The sequence below is a fragment of the Homo sapiens genome, chromosome 2, assembly GCF_000001405.40.
Source record: "Homo sapiens chromosome 2, GRCh38.p14 Primary Assembly".
Taxonomy (NCBI): domain Eukaryota; kingdom Metazoa; phylum Chordata; class Mammalia; order Primates; family Hominidae; genus Homo; species Homo sapiens.
Window position 1 is genome coordinate 23,847,169 of NC_000002.12, and position 18,902 is coordinate 23,866,070.

The following is an 18,902-nucleotide window of genomic DNA, read 5'->3' on the forward strand; positions in this document are numbered from 1 at the left end:
GAGACTAGCCTGGGCAACATGGTGAAACCTTATCACTACTAAAAATTCAAAAAGTGGCTGGGCGCTTTGGCTCATGCCTGTAATCCCAGCACTTTGGGAGGCCGAGGCAGGCGGATCACAAGGTCAGGAGTTCGAGACCAGCCTGACCAATATGGTGAAACCCTGTCTCTACTAAAAATGAAAAAATTAGCCAGGCGTGGTTGGTACACACCTGTAGCTCCAGCTACTTGGGAGGCTGAGGCAGGAGAGTGGCTTGAACCTGGGAGGCGGAGGTTGCCATGAGCAGAGATTGCGCCACTGCACTCCAGCCTGGGCGACAGAGTAAGACTCCATCTCAAAAAAAAAAGTCAGGTGGGTACAGTGGCACACACACCTGTGGCCCCAGCTATTTGGGAGGCTAAGGTGGGAGGATCAGTCGAGGCTGCAGGGAGCCATGATCACACCACTGCACTACAGCCTTGGTGAAGGGAATGAGACGCTGTCTCAAAAACAAAGCTGTTTTTGCTTTTGTTTTAAAAAAAAAAAAATGTGCTTTCAGCCAGGTGTGGTAGCTCATGCCTGTAATCCCAGCACTTTGGGAGACCGATGTGGGCGGATCACAAGGTCAGGAGTTCAAGATCAGCCTGGCTAATATGGTAAAACCCCATCTCTACTAAAAAAAAAAAAATACAAAAATTAGCCAGGCGTGGTGGCACGCAGCTGTAGCCCCAGCTACTCGGGAGGCTGAGGCAGGAGAATCGCTTGAACCCAGGAGGCGGAGGTTGCAGTGAGCCGAGATCGCACCACTGCACTCTGACCTGGGCAACAGAGTGAGACTTCATCCCAAAAAAAAAAAAAAAAAGTGTTTTCAGATATGGAAAAGCCAAAAGAACTTGTCACTTGCAGGCCCACACTGTAAGAAACGTATACATAAAGAAACTGATACTAACTGGAAATATGAACATCTACAAAAGGATAGAGAGCACCAGAAATGGTAAGTATAAAAAATATTTAAGATATTTTTATTTACATTTCTTCAAAAGTTTTTAAAGTTTTAAAAATAAAATGTACAAGGCCAGGCACAATGGCTCACACCTATAATCCCCACACTTTGGTAGGCCAAGGCAGGCGGATCACTTGCAGTCAGGAGCTCGAGACCGTGTCTCTACTAAAAACACAAAAATTAGCCAGGCATGGTGGCGTGCACCTGCAATTCCAGCTACGCAGGAGGCTCAGGCAGGAGAACTGCTTGAACCCGGGAGGCAGAGGTTGCAGTGAGCCGAGACTGCGCCACTACACTCCAGCCTGGGTGACAGAGTGAGACTCTGTCTCAAAAAATAAAAAATGTATGACAATAGCACAAACCTCAGGAGAAGAAAAATGCAAGTATACTATTTCAAGGTTCCCATATTATATGTGAAATGGCCTATCATCAATTGAAGGTAGATGGTTACAAGTTAAAGACATATACCATAAACCCTAAAGTTACTATGAAAATAATAAACAGTAATGGCTAATAAGCCAGCAATGGAAACAAACTGGAATCATAAAAAATATTCAACTAATCCAAATGAAGGTGGAACAATAGGAAAAGGGAAAACAAGAAACAGGCTAAGAGAAAATCATCTAGATGATAAATTTAAACCTAACCATATCAATAATCACACTAAATGTATAAGTGTCCATTTTGAAGGAAATGGTATTTTCATTGTCTTGACTGTAGTTATGGCTTCACAAGTATATATGTATGTTAAAACCTTCCAAGTTTTACTCTTTATCAATGTCAATATTGTGTACATACATATAGTATATATATTATACCTCAATAAAGCTCTTTTTAAAACTCAATAGCAAAATTGAGACTCTAAAAAAAAACTTTCAAAGTTTCAAAGTGTTTTTTAAAAAGGCAAAAAAGAAACAGAAAAAGAAAACAGCAGACACAAATAGAAAATGGAAATGAAATGATCCCCAATTCAAATATATCAATAATTACATTAAACATTGACTAAACAGTCAAATTAAAATTAAGAGACAATGCAATTAAGAAAATAAGACCCAACTTTATATAGTCTATGAACAACACAGGTTGAAAGCAAGTTAATGGCAAAAAATATACCACACAAACAGCATGAAGTCTAGAATAGGTGAATTATTATCTGATAAAAATAAATTTCAAAATTAAGTGTATTACAAGATAAACATGGACATTTCATAATATAAGAAAGCAACATCAACATAAAGATGCAATAAATGTGTATGAAACTAATATAAAATTTCAAAATATGTGAGACAAAAACTAGCAGAATTAAAGGGACAAAGAATTCATTATAGCTGGACATTTTAACATATTTGTCTCTGCAATCAATAGAATTAGACCTAAACATCTGTAAGAAAACAAAAGAGGCCAGACACAGTGGCTCACGCCTGTAATCCCAGCACTGCCTGTCGAGGCAGGCAGATCACTTGAAGTCAGGAGTTCAAGACCAGCCTAGCTAACATGGTGAAACCCCATCTCTACAAAAATACAAAAATTAGCTGGGCATGGTGGTGCATGCCTGTAATCCCAGCTACTCAGGAGGCTGAGGCAGAAGAATCACTTGAACCTTGGAGGCGGAGGTTGCAGTAAGCCAGACAGAGCCACTGCACTCCAGCCTGGGCGACAGAGTGAGACTCCGTCTCAAAAAAATAAAACCCCACAAAAGAGTCTGCTTAACACTATTAATGCCTTGTCTTATTTTATATTTATAGAACACTATACCATAAATGGCAGAATGCAAATTCACAGGATACACTGGGACATAAAGGAGAATGCAATAAATTTAAAAATGACTTTAATACAAAAAAAATTAGCTGGGTGTGGTGGCATGCCTCTGTAGTCCCAGCTACTCAGGAGGCTGAGGCAGGAGAATGGCCTGAACCCGAGAGGCGGAGCTTGCAGTGAGCTGAGATCGCGCCACTGCTGGAGTGGGCAACAGAGCAAGACTCCGTCTCAAAAAAAAAAAAAAAAAAAATGACTTTAAGAGTTATGATCTCTAGATCACAATAAAACTAAATTAGAAGTAAATAACAATAAAATAATCAGGAAAAATAACCACAGCTATTTGTAAATTAAATACACATCTAAATTAAATACACAATGACTGTGTCAAAGAAAAAATGACAAGAGGAATTGGAAATTATTTTGAACTGAATGACAGTGAATACATGTCAAAAACTGTGGGATGTAGCTAAAGCATTGCTTAGAGGGAAATTTACAGGTGTCAATGCCTATATTAGAAAAAAAGAAAAGTTTCAATCAATTTCTAAGCTTCCATCTTAATCTGAAAAAGGGAGTTAAATTAAAAACAAACAGAAAAGACTTGGGAGACCTGAAATACATACTGCTATATAAAAGAAGCCAATCTGAAAAAACTACATACTGTTTGAGTCCAACTATATGACATTCTGGAAAAGGCAAAATTATGGAGATAGTAAAAAGATCAGTGGTTGCTGGGGAGATAGGGAGGGCTCTGCAGGGCAGAAGAGAAGGGGGGATGAATGAATAGACGATTTGGGGGAAGTGAAAATATTCTGTATGATACTGTAAGAGCAGATACGTGTCATTACACATTTGTTGAAACCCTAAAACTGCCTGCTATGAATGGAATGTTTCTATTCCCCTAAAATTCACACATTGAAACCTAATCACCAATGTAATGTTGTTAAGAGGTATTAAGAGTTAAGAGCTAAGGTGTTAAGAGTGTTAAGAGGTGGAACCTTTGGGAGGTAATTAGGACACAAGGGCAAAACCCTCATAAAGAGGATTCCTGCCTTCATAAAAGAGACCTGAAAAAGCTAGCTGGTCTTTTCTACCATTTAAGGACACAAGAGAAGTCATCAGAACCAGAAAGCAGGTCCTCACCAGACACTAAATCTGCTGGCACCCTGATCTTGGACATCCCAGCCTCCAGAAATATGACAAATAATGTTCTGCTATTTCTAAGCTACCCAGTTTTATAGAGATTTTTTGTTTTCTGAGACAGGGCCTCACTCTCTCACCTAGGCTGTAGTTCGGTGGCACGATTGTGGCTCACTGCAGCCTTGACCTCCCCAGGCTCAAGTGATCCTCTCACGTCAGCCTCCCAAGTAGCTAGGACGAGAGGCACACCACACCCAACTAATTTTTGTACTTTTAGTAGAGACACGGTTTTGCCACATTGCCCAGGCTGGTCTCAAACTGCTGAGCTCAAGAGATCCACTGTCCTTGGCCTCCCAAAGTGCTGGGACTACAAGTGTGAGCCACTGTGCCCAGTCATGAATAGTCTATTTTTAAGACCATTTGTTAGGGCAGTTTTAGGTTAACAGCCAAATTGAGAAGGAAATACAGAGACTTTCATACGTCCCCCGCCTGCCCCTTCATATGTATACCCATGCCCCAACAGAGTGGTGCACTTATTTCAACTGATGAACCTACAATGACACATCACAATCTACAAAGTCCACAGTTTACATTAAGGTTCACGCTTGATGATATACATTCTATGGGTTTGGACAAACATATCATGATGTGGATCCACTCTTACAGTATAACACAGACTATTTTCACTGCCCTAAAAAATCTTTTATACTCTGCCTACAAATCCCCCTCAGTCTACTAATTTTTAAAAATATAAGAAAAAAGGTAGTATAAAATTGGAAACAAAAATAATAGTAGAAAATCTATGAAAACAGAAGTTGCCTCTTTGGGGGAGAAAGGACCAATAAAATTGATAATCCTCTAGCCGGAGTAATCAAGAAAAAAAAAAAGAGAAAACACAGGTTATCACCATCGGAAATGAAAAGAATACTACCGCAGACTATTTAGGCATTAAGGAGATAACAGAATAGTAGGAAAAAATGTATGTAAATTTCTTGACTTAGGTGAAATGAACAAATTCCTTTAAAGATAAACTACCAAACTAACAAAACTGACCTAAGAATAAATAGAAAACTTGAACAGCCCTGTATCAACTGAAGAAATTTAACTTGTAATCAAAAACCTTTCCATAAACAAAACTCCAGGCCCAGGTATTTTCACTGGTGAATTCTCTCAAACACTTAAGAAATGAATAACATCAAACTTACACAAACACTTTCAGAAAATAGAGAAAGAGGGAATGCCATCTCATCTTTTTTTTTTTAAGAGACAGGGTCTCACTATGTTGCCCAGGCTGCTCTTGCACTCCTAGACTCAAGAGATCCTGCTGCCTCAGCCTCTCAAAGTGTTGAGATTACAGGCATGCACCATCACACCCAGTGTATATCTCATCTAATACACATCAAAATTACCTGATTCCAAAACCAGATGCAGATATTTTAAGAGTAATTACAGATCAAAATCTCATTAATACAGATAATAAAACTTTTTATATTAGCAAGTGGAATCCAATAATTTTTTAAGAAAGACAATATATTATGAGCAAGTGAGGTTTATTCTAAGAATGCAAAGTTAGTTTACTATCTAAAATTCAGGCCAGGCGCAGTGGCTCACACTTGTAATCCCAGCACTTCGGGAGGCCGAGGCAGGTGGATCACCTGAGGTCAGGCGTTCAAGACAAGCCTGACCAACATGGTGAAACCCTGTCTCTACTAAAAACACAAAAATTAGCCAGGCACGGTGGCAGACACCTGTAATGCCAGGTACTCGGGAGGCTGAGGCAAGAGAATCACTTGAACCCAGGAGGTGGAGGTTGCAGTGAGCCGAGATCACGCCATTGCACTCCAGCATGGGCGACAGAGCGAGACTCCATCTCCAAAAAAAAAAAAAAATCTAAAATTCAATCAAAATAATGCTCTACCTTAATAGAATACAGGAGAAAAGCCATATGATCAATTCAAAAGAGACAGAAAAAAAAATATGTTACAAAGTTCAGTACTCTATCCCAGTAAAATAAACTCTCACAGCAAACTAGGAATATAGTGGAAATCCCTCAATGTAATAAAGGGCACCTATGAAAAACTTAGTTAAAATCACATTCAATGGTTAAAGTCTCAATGTTTTACAGCCAATGAAGGAAACAGGCAGTGATTTCCATTATCACCATTACTATTTAACTGAATTCTAGCCAAAGAAATAAGAAAAAGAAATAAAAGACATAGATTGGAAAGGAAGAAGTAGAAGTACCTTTATTTGCAGATAAGGTATATGTATAAAACCGTAAGGAAACCACAAAATAGCTAATAGAACTAACAAATGAATTTAGCAAGGTTGTGGATACAAAGTCTATAAACTCAGTTGTATTTTTATAAACCAGCAGTAAGCAATTAGAAAATAAATTTTCTTTCAAAACTCCATTCACATTAAATGAACAATAAAGTATTTAGGGATGCATTAAACAAAAGATGCCTAAGATCCTTATGCTAAAACCATAAGACACAGGAAAAGGAAATTAAAGAATACCTAAATAAATGAACAGAATTACCATGTTCATAGACTGAAAGACGAATAAGGATGCAATTCTTCCCAAATAGATCGAAGGATTAATTGCAATCCCAAATAAATCCCAACAGTCTTTTCTAAAGAAACTGACAAGAGGCTTTAGAAATGTAAATGGAAAGATAATAGATGACTACAACAATTCTGAAAAAGAACAAATTTGGAGGACTTATACTAAAATGAACATTAATCAAGACAGTGGTATAAGGATAGACCTGTAGATCAATGGAATCAACTAACAAATCTAGAAATAGACACACATTTATATGGTCAATTTTTGTCAAAGACGTGCCAAGAAATTTAACAAAGTAAACTCTTCAATATATGGTTCTGGAACAAATGAGTATCTGTATAAAAAAATAGGCTGGGCATGGTGGCTCATGCCTGTAATACCAGCACTTTGGGAGGCCGAAGCAGGAGAATCACCTGAGGTCAGAAGTTCGAGACCAGCCTGGCCAACATGGTGAAACATACCTCTACTAATAATACAAAAATTCGCCAGGCATGGTAGCACACACCTGTAATCCCAGCTACTCAGGAGGCTGAGGCACAAGAATCACTTGAACCTGGGAGGTGGAGGCTACAGTGAGCTGAGATCGCGCGACTGCACTCCAGCCTGGGCAACAGAGTGACACTCCGTCTCAAAGAAAAAAAAAGAATACCTGTATTAAAAAAATAAACTTCAGTCCATACCTTAAACTATCTACAAAAATTAACTTAAACCCTCACCTCTTACTGATACACAAACATTAACGTAAAATGAATCATTGACTTAAATATTAAGAGCTAACACTGGCTGGGAACAGTGGCTCATGCCTGTAAGCCCAACACTTTGGGAGGCCGAGGTGGGTGGATCACCTGAGGTCAGGAGTTCTAGACCAGCCTGGCCAATATGGTGAAACCCCACCTCTACTAAAAATACAAAAATTAGCCAGGCGTGGTGGCAGGCACCTGTAATCCCAGCTACTCGGGGGGCCAAGGCAGGAGAATCGCTTGAACCTGGCAGGCGGCGGTTGCAGTGAGCCAAGATCGTGCCATTGCACTCCAGCCTGGGGCACAAGATCGAGACTTCGTCTCAAAAAAAAAAAAAAAAGCTAACGCTATTAATATTTTCAAAGAAAACATCCAAGAAAATTATTGCCACACTTATTTAGGCAACTTTTCTCAAGCAGAACACAAAAGGCACAGATACATTTTTTAAATCTATATGGTGGCTTTATCAAAATTCAAATCCTGACTCTTCAAAAGTCCTAACTAAGCAAACAAAGATACAAGCCAGAACACTGGAAAAAAATTTCAAAACAAAGACTGGGCCAGGGGTATTGTCTCATGCCTGTAATCCCAGCACTTTGGGAGGCCACGGCAGGCAGATCACTTGAGGTCAAGAGTTCGAGACCAGTCTGGCCAACATGGCAAAACCCTGTCTCTACTAAAAATACAAAATTAGCCGGGCATGGTGGTGCACACCTGTAATCCCAGCTACTCGAGAGGCTGAGCCAGGAGAATCGCTTCAATGCGGGGTGCGGAGGTTGCAGTGAGCTGAGATCGCACCACTGCACTCCAACAGGGCAACAGAGCAAGACTCTGTCTCAAAAAAAAAAAAAAAACACAAGGACTACAACACAACAAGACACACAATCTAATTTCTAGTTTTAAAAAATGGCGCAAAAGATTTACAGACATTTCACAAATGAAAATATATAAACAGGCAATAAACACAAAGATGCTCAATATTATTGGATTAATATTAAAGCTTAATATTATTTGTATTACTATTAATGCAAATTAAATCCATTACTGTACACCCACTAGGATGGCTAAAGTTAAAGACAGTTAACACCACCAATTGTTGGCAAGGATGAGGAACAACTCAAATTATCATACGTTATAGGAAAATAAAAATGGTAAAACCACTTTGGAAAACAGTACAGTGTTACCTTAGAAACTTAAACACACATTTACCATAGGCTCCAGAAATTCCTCTCTCAGGGATTTACCCAACAGAAAAGAAAACATGTCCACACAAAAACTTGTAGAGACGCTTTGAGAGGCCAAGATGGAGGGCTCGCTTGAGACTAGGTGTCAGAAACCAACCAGGGAAACATAGCGAGACTCCGTCTCTACAACAAATACAAAAATTAGCCAGGTGGGGTACTGCATGCCTGTAGTTCTAGCTACTCAGGAGGCTGAGGCAGTAGGATCACTTGGGCCTAGAAGTTTGAGGTTACAGTGAGCTATGATCACACCATTGCACTCCAGCCTAGGTAAGAGAATGAGATCCAGTCTCTTAAAAATGCTTTGGACCGGCCGGGCATGGTGGCTCATGCCTGTAATTCCAGCACTTTGGGAGCCTGAGGCGGGTGGATCACAATGTCAGGAGTTCGTGACCAGCCTGGCCAATATGGTGAAACCCAGTCTCTACTAAAAATACAAAAAAAATAGCCAGGCGTGGTGGCACATGCCTGTAATCCCACCTACTTGGGAGGCTGAGGCAGGAGAACTGCTTGAACCCGGGAGGCAGAGGTTGCAGTGAGCCAAGATCCCGCCACTGCACTCCAGCCTGGGCAACAGAGTGAGACTCCATCTCAAAAAAAAAAAAAAAAAGCTTCAGACCAGAATTATTTTAAACTTGGGATATTTTTCAGATTTTGGAATATTTGCATTATATTTACCAGTGGAGCTTCCTGAATCCCAAAATCCAAAACTGAAAAAGCTTTGATGAGCATTTCCTTTGAGTGTCATGTGAAAATTCAAACAGTTTCAAATGTTGGAACATTTCAGATTTCAGATTTTTGGATTTGGGATGCTCAACCTGTAGCAGGTTGAGCATTATCATAATAGCTAAAAATAGAAGCAAAACAAATCTCCCATCAGATGGTAGATTGAAAAATAAATAGTAGTATACACACACACATATACATTAAGGAATACTCCTGGGGAGTGAAAAAGAATAAAATATTAGCATACATGACATCGAGGCCAGACACAGTAGCTCACATCTATAATCCCAGCACTTTGGGAGGCGGAGGCAGGCAGATCACTTGAGGCCAGGAGTTCAAGACCAGCCTGGCCAATATGGCGAAACCCCATCTCTACTAAAAATACAAAATTAGCCAGGCATGGCAGCACATGCCTGTAATCCCAGCTACTTGGGAGGCTGAGGCATAAGAATCACTTGAACCCAGGAAGTGGAGGTTGCAGTGAGCCGCGATTACGCCACTGCACTCCAGCCTGGGTGACAGGGTGAGACTCTGACTCTAAAAAAAAAAACCAAAAAATTATGCTAAATTAGGATGAGAAAACTTTTTCTGTAAAAGGTCAGATAGGCTGGACACAGTGGCTCACGCCTGTAATCTCGGCACTTTGGGAGGCTGACTGGGGAGGATGGTTTGAGGCCAGGAGTTGAAAACCAGCCTAGGCAAGAGAGCAAGAACTCGTCTCTAAAATAAATTAAAAAAAAAAAAAATTAAAAGCCCACATAGTAAATGTTTTAAACTTTGCAACGCATTCGGTCTCTCTATCACAGCTGCTGAACTCTACTATTGTAGCACATAAGAAACCACATGCAATGCTTAAGGAATGAACATGGTTGTATTCCAATATAACTTCATTTACAAAAACACACAGAGGCCTGGATTTGGCTCACAGGCTGTGGTGTGCTGACCCCTGTACTAAGAGAAAGAAGTAGTCCTCACAGACACAGATTGTTTTAAATTTCTTTGTAAGCCTCATAGCACTTAGCTAAGGGCTAAGGCTAACTACCAAGTCAATGCGTAAAAAAGAAATCAAGATAATCAGATAAAGAAAAATTACCTGTGGATCTGATCTTGTCTGCTAGAGCGAACTGGAGCTAATCCATCTATTTCATCAAAAAATATTATAGAAGGTCTCATCAAATATGCCTAGTAAGAAGAAAACAAATAATATTTATTGTATTTGTTTTCATTTTTAAAATTTATTATATTTTCTTAATAGGTAATAAAAGCAAATGGTACAACATGCAGCAGGTATGAAGGAGTATATAGCAACGAGGAAATCTTACCACCCAGTTTCCAACAACCATGTCTCCTCCAGTAAGCAACTACTGTTTTCAGTTTGTTTATTCTTCCATACATACTTATACACAAACCAAAGTGTATTTTTTTTTTTTTTTTTTTTGAGACGGAGTCTCGCTCTGTCACCCAGGCTGAAGTGCAGTGGCACGATCTCGGCTCACTACAAGCTCCGTCTCCCAGATTCACACCATTCTCCTGCCTCAGCCTCCTGAGTAGCTGGGACTACAGGCGCACACCACCACGCCCGGCTAATTTTGTTGTATTTTTTAGTAGAGACAGGGTTTCACCACGTTAGTCAGGATGGTCTCGATCTCCTGACCTCGTGATCTGCCCGCCTCGACCTCCCAAAGTGCTGGGATTACAGGTGTGAGCCACCACACCCGGCCACCAAAGAGTATTTTTTAAACACGCATGATAGCACACCACACACATTCTTTTTATTTATTTGTTTTAGGTTTTATTTATTTATTTATTTATTTTTTGAGACAGAGTCTTGCTCTGTCACCCAGGCTGGAGTACAGTGGTGCAATCTTGGTTCACTGCAACCTCCGCCTCCCGGGTTCAACTGATTCTCCTGCCTCAGCCTCCCGAGTAGCTGGGATTACAGGCATGTGCCACCATACCTGGCTAATTTTTGTATTTTTAGTAGAGATGGGGTTTCATCATGTTGGCCAGGCTGTTCTCACACTCCTCACCTCAGGTAATCCACCCACCTCGGCCTCCCAAAGTGCTGGGATTACAGGCGTGAGCCACCGCACTCAGCCTACACATTCTTTTTATATAACAATGTATGTTGTTAAGTAATTTCCGTATACTTAAGACCTGTCTCATTCTTTTTTTTTTTTTTTTTCTTCAGACAGGGTCTTACTCTGTCACTCAGGCTTGAGTGCAGTGGCATGATCACAGCTCACTACAACCTCAAATGCAAACAATCCTCTTGCTTCAGCCTCCAGAGTACCTGGGACTACAGGCAGGGACCAACACGCCCAGCTAATTTTTAAGTATTTGGAGAGATGAGTTCTCACTATGTTGCCCGGGATGGTCTCAAACTCTTGGGCTCAAGTGACCCTTCCACCTCGGCCTGCCAATGTGCTGGGATTACAGGTCTGAGATACTGTGTCCAGCCTGCCTCATTCGTTTTCAACAGCTATATGATGTCCCACCGTATGGATGTGCCACAGTTAAACCTGTCCCCTTCTTATGGATACTTAGGCTGTTTTCAATATTTTCCTATTGGCAACAATATTGTAACAAATAATAGTAAATAAATAACTGTATTTATCATTTCATATGAGTATAAACATATTAATATAATAAATCCTAAAAGTAGAACTACTAGCTCAAAAGGCATGTGTCATTTCTAATCTAGTTAGATATTTGCAAATTGCCATCCACTGAAGTATCATTTTACCCTCTAACCAGCAATATTTAAGGGTGCTCACCAGCAATGTATTATCAAACTTATTGACCTTTGCTAATTTTTTAGGATAAAGAATGTTATCTCATTTTATTTTCAATTCTTATTTATAAGATGGATACATTATATATCCATAAAAGTCATTTATATTGCTTTTCCTATGCTGCCCATTACTTCACAAGATCACTAGTCTTTTGCTTAGTGAGTTCTAGAAGCTACTTATTTATTTATTTATTTATTTATTTTGAATTTTTGAGACAAGGTCTCACTCTCTCACCCAGGCTGGAGTGCAGTGACATAATCACAGCTCACCTCAGCCTCCACCCACCAGCTCAATCAATTCTCCCGCCTCAGCCACCTAAGTAGCTAGGACTACAGGTCCATGCCAACACACTTGGCTAATTTTTGTATTTTTATAGAGGCAGGGTTTCACCACGTTGCCCAGGCTTATTTATTTATTTTAAAGGTGAATGCTCTGTCTGTAATAGGAAATGCAAATATTTTTCTGCAAAGAGTATCATTTATCTTTTGAATTAGTATTGCTATGGTTTGAGTTTGTCCCCTCCAAAACTCATGTTGAAATTTAATTGCCGGCCGGGCTTGGTGGCTCATGCCTGTAATCCCAGCACTTTGGGAGGTCGAGACAGGCGGATCTCTTGAGGTCAGAAGTTCGAGACCAGCCTGGTCAACATGGTGAAACGCCGTCTCTACTAAAAACACAAAAATTAGCCACGCGTGGCGGGGGGGGCACCTGTAATCCCAGCTACTCGGGAGGCTGAGGCATGAGAATCGCTTGAACCCGGGAGACAGAAGTTGCTGTGAGCCGAGATTGTGCCACTGCACTCCAGCCTGGGTGACAGAGCGAGACTCAGCCTCAAAAAAAAAAAAAGAAATTTAATTGTCATTGTGACAGGTATTGGGAGGTAGGACCTTTAAAAAGTGTGTAGGTCTTGAGGCCTCCACCCTCATAAATAGACTAATGTGGCTGACATCTAAGGAGTAGATTTATTATTGTGATAGTGGGTTTGCCCCCATCTTGTGCATTCTCTCTCTCTCTCTTTGCCCTTCTGCTATGGATGCTGTCTTCTGTCATGTTATGACACAGCAAGAAGGCACTGACCAGATGCCTTGATTTTGGACTTCCTCGTCTCCAGAACTATGAGTCAGTAAATTTCTGTTCATTCTAAATTACACAGTCTGTGATCTTCTGTTCTAACGGCACAAAACAAAAATATGTATTTTGTTGCCATGCAGAATCTTAAAATTTCTTTTATGTGCTAGATCTTTCCTTACATAGTTAGACCTCCCTACTCTGAGATCATAAACAAAATTCTCCCATGTTTTCATCTGGTACATTTGCAGTGTCATTTTTCTCACTTAAGTATTAGATCTAGAAAGAATCTGATTTAAGATGAATGAATATTAGATAACAAATGAGAAGTTTTTATCATATAATTTACTCAAATTTATGTAGCTTATGTTTCAAAATTAAAGGAAACTCTCAGTTCACAGGAAGGTCAGTTTACTAAGGAAGAGAGATGAATTTTCCATTTCTCCTGAGTGATATGCACTAAACTTTAATGTTTCCTAATAATTTGAAATGAAAGACAATTCAGGCTGAGCATGGTAACTCACGCCTGTAATCCCAGCACTTTGGGAAGCCAAGGCAGGTGGATCACCTGAGGTCAGGAGTTCCAGACTAGCCTGGCCAACATGGTGAAACCCTGTCTGTACTAAAAATACAAAAATTAGCTGGACATGGTGGCAGGTGCCCATAATCCCAGCTACTTGGGAGACTAAGGCAGGAGAATCACCTGAACCCAGGAGGTGGAGGTTGCAGTGAGCCAAGATCACGCCATTGCACTCCAGCCCGGGCGACAAAAGCGAAACTCCATATCAAATAAATAAATAAATAAATAATTCAACTACAAGATAGGGGTTTTGGGGAAAAAAAGTTAAAAGAACTGGAATTATGGCCCAGTGCAGTGGCTCACACCTGTAATCCCAGTGCTTTGGGAGTGTTGATCACTATTTTTATATACATGAAACAAACAACTGTTGTTGTTGTTTTTTTCCTTTTTTTTTTTTTTTATAACTACACCCTCACAGTATTGCAAAAAGGAGGTAGGGCATATTACGTGCCAGTCACTGTGATAAATATTTTGTGTCTTCTCAGTGAAATCTCATAACAGTCTAGTAAGATAGGTATTCTTTCTACCATTGCACAAAAAAGGCTACTAAAGATTAAATGTTTTGATTTACTTAATGTTATATTCAATGGTAAAGATAGATACAAACATTTTTCTGACATAGAAGGCCACTCTCTTAGCCAATACACTGTAGTGCCTTCATTTCATTTAGTGCATAGACCATATCCTTAACTTAGGAATGCAGAATCTTTCATTAAAAAAAAAAAAAAAAATCAGGATTACCAGCAATTTTCTTAAAAAATACAGCAAACATTTCAACTATTCCTCCCACCAAGAAAACTATGAAACAGAAATAAAATAAATTTAGACAAAAGGAGTAGCATGATTTATGCTATGGTTTTAAATAAAACTAAGAGGCATCCCTAGCCCAAGTATGAAATGGCTACAAAAGTATAACTTTAAAATTTTTAAATTAAATCATTGAATAATATGCCAGCATTGCCAAGCCAATTCTTCCTTCATCTATAAATGTTTATATTTTTATTGTTTGATTATTAATGAATTCTCTTGAAGCATTCAGACTGCATGTTTGACTCGCCATTAGACACTGGACACGTTCAAGGTAAAAATCTTACCTACTCCTTTTTCTAAATCTAGCAGTTTTTGATACTATTAATAATTTTAAAATAGTACTGGGCCAGACACAGAGGCTCATGCCTATAATCCCAACACTTTGGGAGGCCAAGGCGGGAGGATAGCTGAAGGCCAGGACTTCAAGACCAGCCTAGGCAACACCTTGGGACCCTGTCTTTCCAAAAAGTTGAAAATTAGGCAAGTGTGGTAGTGCACACCTGTAGTTCTACCTAGAGAGGCCAAGGCCGGAAGATCACTTGAGTCCAGGAGTTTGAGGTTGCAGTGAACTATAATCACATCACTGCACTCCAGCCTGGGTGACAGAGCGTGACCCTTTCAAAAAAAAAAAAAAAATTGTGAAGTACTTTACCAATTACAAAGGACTTTCACACACACCATCTCAGTAATGGGTGCTCAAAGCTTGAAGTTATTTTTTATTTCACGTGAATTTCCTCAGACATAATCAAATATATGCTGCATTGCCAAATATGAACAGCATCCTTCACTAACTCAAACAATCAAAAGTGAATTTATATTTGGACTGGTTTTTTTTTTTTTTTTTTTTTTTTTGAGAGACAGAGTCTCACTCTATTGCCCAGACTGTAGTACAGTGGTGTCATAATCGCTCACTGCAGCCTTGAACTCCGGGGCTCATGCAATCCATCTGCCTTGGCCTCTTAAAATATCGGGATTACAGGCGTCAGCCACTGTGCCCAGCTGGAATAATTCTTAAAACGTATAGGAAATAATATCTTTAAAGTTTTTGTTACAAATAAATAGTAGACATAGTCCACATGATATTTATTCACCCTGCTCTGCCTTTTAAAAGCATTCACTCATGTCTGAATTCTTCTAGTACCGTATTTACAGCTCATGAAAATAACACACTACTTTGTGAGATTTCTTGCACAGATACTTAAGTTTTTATGCCTGTTGTAGTTCCCCAATGGATTATAATCTAGCAATATATATGTTATATCCTGTGTTGTCTAAAGCACCTAACATGGTATTATATACCTCGCAGCCACCTCAATAAATGTTTTATGAGCCATCATAAATATTCAAAAGTACTAGTGAAACTGCCATTAAATGCCTCTAAGGCATACAATCACAGATTACTAATCCTGAATATAACATATTGGATGGAAAATATGCTTCCTCATAAACAGTTTGTATTTGCAGATTAAACGTATTAAATATTCTAAAGAAAATATTCTCAGCAGGCAGATTGCTTGAGCCCAGGAGTTCGAGACCAGCTGGCCAACGTGGTGAAATCCCACCTCTATAAAAAATACAAAAATCAGCCAGGCGTGGTGATGCACACCTGTAGTTCAGGCTACTGGGGCAAGGACTGATGCAGGAGAATTGCTAGAGCCCTGGATGTCAAGACAGTAGTGAGACGAGATCACGCTATTGCACTCACTCCAGCCTGGGTAACAGAGAGAGGCCCTGTCTCAAAAAAACAAAGAAAGAAAAGAACAGAACAGAACAGAAAAGACTCTTGAATTAGATGATTTCTCTTACCTGATCAAAAAGAAGCCTAAGTTGCCTTTCAGATTCACCAACCCACTTGCTCAAACAATCTGCTCCTTTTCGCATAAAAAAAGCCACTTTTTTGTCTCCTTGGCTGCATTCATTAGCTAATGCTCTGGCAACCAAGGTTTTACCTGTGCCAGGAGGGCCATAAAACAAACAGCCCCTAGAAGAATAAAAAAATCAAGAAGTGTAAATTATATTATCATCACTGCTGATAACCAATTTTAAAAAATGTCCCCCCCTTCCATATAATTTTGTATTGAAGTATAATTATTAGACATTGATAAAGCTTTTTCCAGGATATAGACAAAAGTTTTACTTTGCTAAGTCCTTAAATCACCAAGCTTTGGCAGACAAGAAATAAAGTACAGAGTAATTTGGCAAGATATATAGAAATTTTAAATGTGTTTCCCAATGACCCAGAAATTTCACATCTTTAGAATAAATAATGTAGAAATACTCAAAAGGAATGATAGATAGATTCAAATGACTCTTTAATAAGATTTTCCATATCCTTAAAAACGTGAAAAATAAATTAGAACAAAATCTGAATAAAAAGTGCCTCCTTAAAGAAAACAGACATTTATCAGTTTAAATCTAACAGCCTATATGTGTATCTTCTGAATATTCTTTTTTTTTTTTTCTGAGACGGAATCCTCACTGTCACCCAGGCGCAATCTCGGCTCACTACAACCTCCGCTTCCTGGGTTCAACTGATTCTCATGCCTCAGCCTCCCGAGTAGCTGGGATTACAGAGGCATGACACCACCCCTAGCTAATTTTTGTATTTTCAGTAGAGACGAGGTTTCACCATGTTGGCCAAGCTGGTCTCGAATTCCTGACCTCAGGTGATCCACCCACCTCGGGATCCCAAAGTACTGGGATTACAGACTTGAGCCACCGTGCCCAGCCAGAATATTCTATTCTGCCCAATCTTCTTTAACATAATTTATCTGCCTTTTCCAATAGTTCCCCAGCTATCCACCTCATGATCAGGCACAATCTGTTCCTACAAATAAATTATCAAGCTCACTCTATTTCAAAAATACTCCATCATCAAGTCAAAGAAACACATCAATAAAACTGTGCTTCCAAGAGTAAATAACATATAGCATCAAACTCGATGCACTGGGAGCCAAATTCAGAAAAACCCATCTGGACAATCTGGTTGTGTATTTAGGGCCCACAGAAAGAATCTTATCAAGTGCCTGACTTAAATCCTGAGATGTAAACTTCAAGAACATACTTAGTTCCATGGCCTCTGGACCCTAAACAATAACATTTCATTTCTAACTGTCATTGCTAGGACACGTCAAATAAATATATATCAAATATTTATATTTATAGCAATTTACTCAAATAACATTTGAGAAAGTAACAGTAATAACAATAATAAACATCTATGACATTGCTTACCTTGGAGGCTGAATTTTAAACTTTTCAAAAATTTCTGGATATAAAAGTGGGAATACTACCATTTCCTTTAGCGCATGAATATGATGGCTCAATCCACCTATGCTATCAAACCGTACCTTGGAAAGAAGGGGAAAAATTTGATATCAAACAATTTTATATGTTTTATAGAATTTTTAAAATTTATAAAAGAGTCTTACGATTCAGAAATACATGCCTTTAGCAGAAGCTTTTAAACATAACTACAAATAAGTGTAGAAAAAAAAGGCCAACAATAAAATCCAAGTTTACATTTCAGTTCAGGCAAATTAAGCTACCATTATTTAATCTAGTAACTCAGAACCAGGATTAATCCCCAACCTAAAACTTTAATAGGTATCTATAGGAGATTTTTATATTATACTAACATATATAATTTTTATATTATACCAAGTTTTAATGGGCCTGGCACAGTGGCTCACACTTGTAATCCCAGCACTTTGGGAGCCCAAGGAGGGCGGATCACCTGAGCTCAGGAGTTCGAGACCAGCCTGCCCAACATGGTGAAACACCATCTCTACTAAAAATACAAAAATTAGCTGGGCATGGTGGCGCACGCCTGTAATCCCAGCTACTTGGGAGGCTGAGGCAGGAGAATAGCTTGATCCTGGGAGGCGGAGGTTGCAGTGAGCTGAGATCGCACCATTGCACTACAGCCTGGGCAACAAGAGTGAAACTCCACCTCAAAAAAAAAAAAAAAAGTTTAAATGGCTTTAAAAATATATAATTATTTTGTACATGTATTCTCAGAAGGGGGCAATATTGTCCTCACAGAGGCAAAAATTGGTTCAAGGGTAGGGCAAGAAAAAATCTTAGCTATTTACAATAGTTTGTAGACCTCCCAAGGTCAATGTTACCTGACAAAATCTTATTCTTTAACATTTAATTTCTCTAGTCAGAGAGAAATTTACTTTTTTTTTTCTTTATGGGACAATGATGAAAAAATTATTTTAGAAACACTGATCTATCACAAGAAGCAGCAAAGATTGTTCCTCCCACCCATAATAGTTTAAATAGCTAGAAAGCTTTGTAAGAAAAAAAGTGTACAGACAAAAAATGCTTTAAGAAAATTTTACCCAAAGTGTTAACTGTGACTGCCTCTTCCCTGCTTCTTCATTCTGTTATGGTACTTGAAAATGTTTTACAATGAAAGTATTACTATGATAGAAAAAGTGAAAGTAAACTATTAACAGAAAAATAAAAACAAGTTAAATAACAGAAACATT

General features: G+C 39.0%; 1 protein-coding gene across 29 annotated transcripts in view, besides 2 other annotated features; it reads right to left on the reverse strand.

Annotated features, from left to right (window-relative positions):
- The window catches only part of ATAD2B (ATPase family AAA domain containing 2B), a 249,155-nt gene that overhangs the window by 169,200 nt on the left and 61,053 nt on the right, over positions 1-18,902 (reverse strand). For all 29 annotated transcript variants that reach the window (XR_001738780.3, NR_125717.2, XR_001738782.3 and 26 more), the window contains 3 exons: positions 17,641-17,756; positions 16,213-16,387; positions 10,247-10,335 (listed from right to left, as the gene is read on the reverse strand). Coding sequence is in view for 26 of the 29 variants with exons in the window: in XM_047444799.1 (XP_047300755.1) it covers positions 10,247-10,335; positions 16,213-16,387; positions 17,641-17,756 (380 nt within the window). In the remaining 3 variants the exon portion in view is untranslated. The remainder of the gene's footprint in view (positions 1-10,246; positions 10,336-16,212; positions 16,388-17,640; positions 17,757-18,902) is intronic.
- Positions 3,830-3,879: an enhancer, noted in NCBI's record as "active region_15416". NCBI's record gives its function as "activates an Ori minimal core promoter by ATAC-STARR-seq in GM12878 lymphoblastoid cells {active_cell/tissue: GM12878}" and the evidence as "EXISTENCE:reporter gene assay evidence [ECO:0000049][PMID:35858748]".
- Positions 12,938-13,138: a silencer, noted in NCBI's record as "peak3620 fragment used in MPRA reporter construct". NCBI's record gives its function as "represses an SCP1 promoter by STARR-seq MPRAs in K562 erythroleukemia cells {active_cell/tissue: K562}" and the evidence as "EXISTENCE:reporter gene assay evidence [ECO:0000049][PMID:32103011]".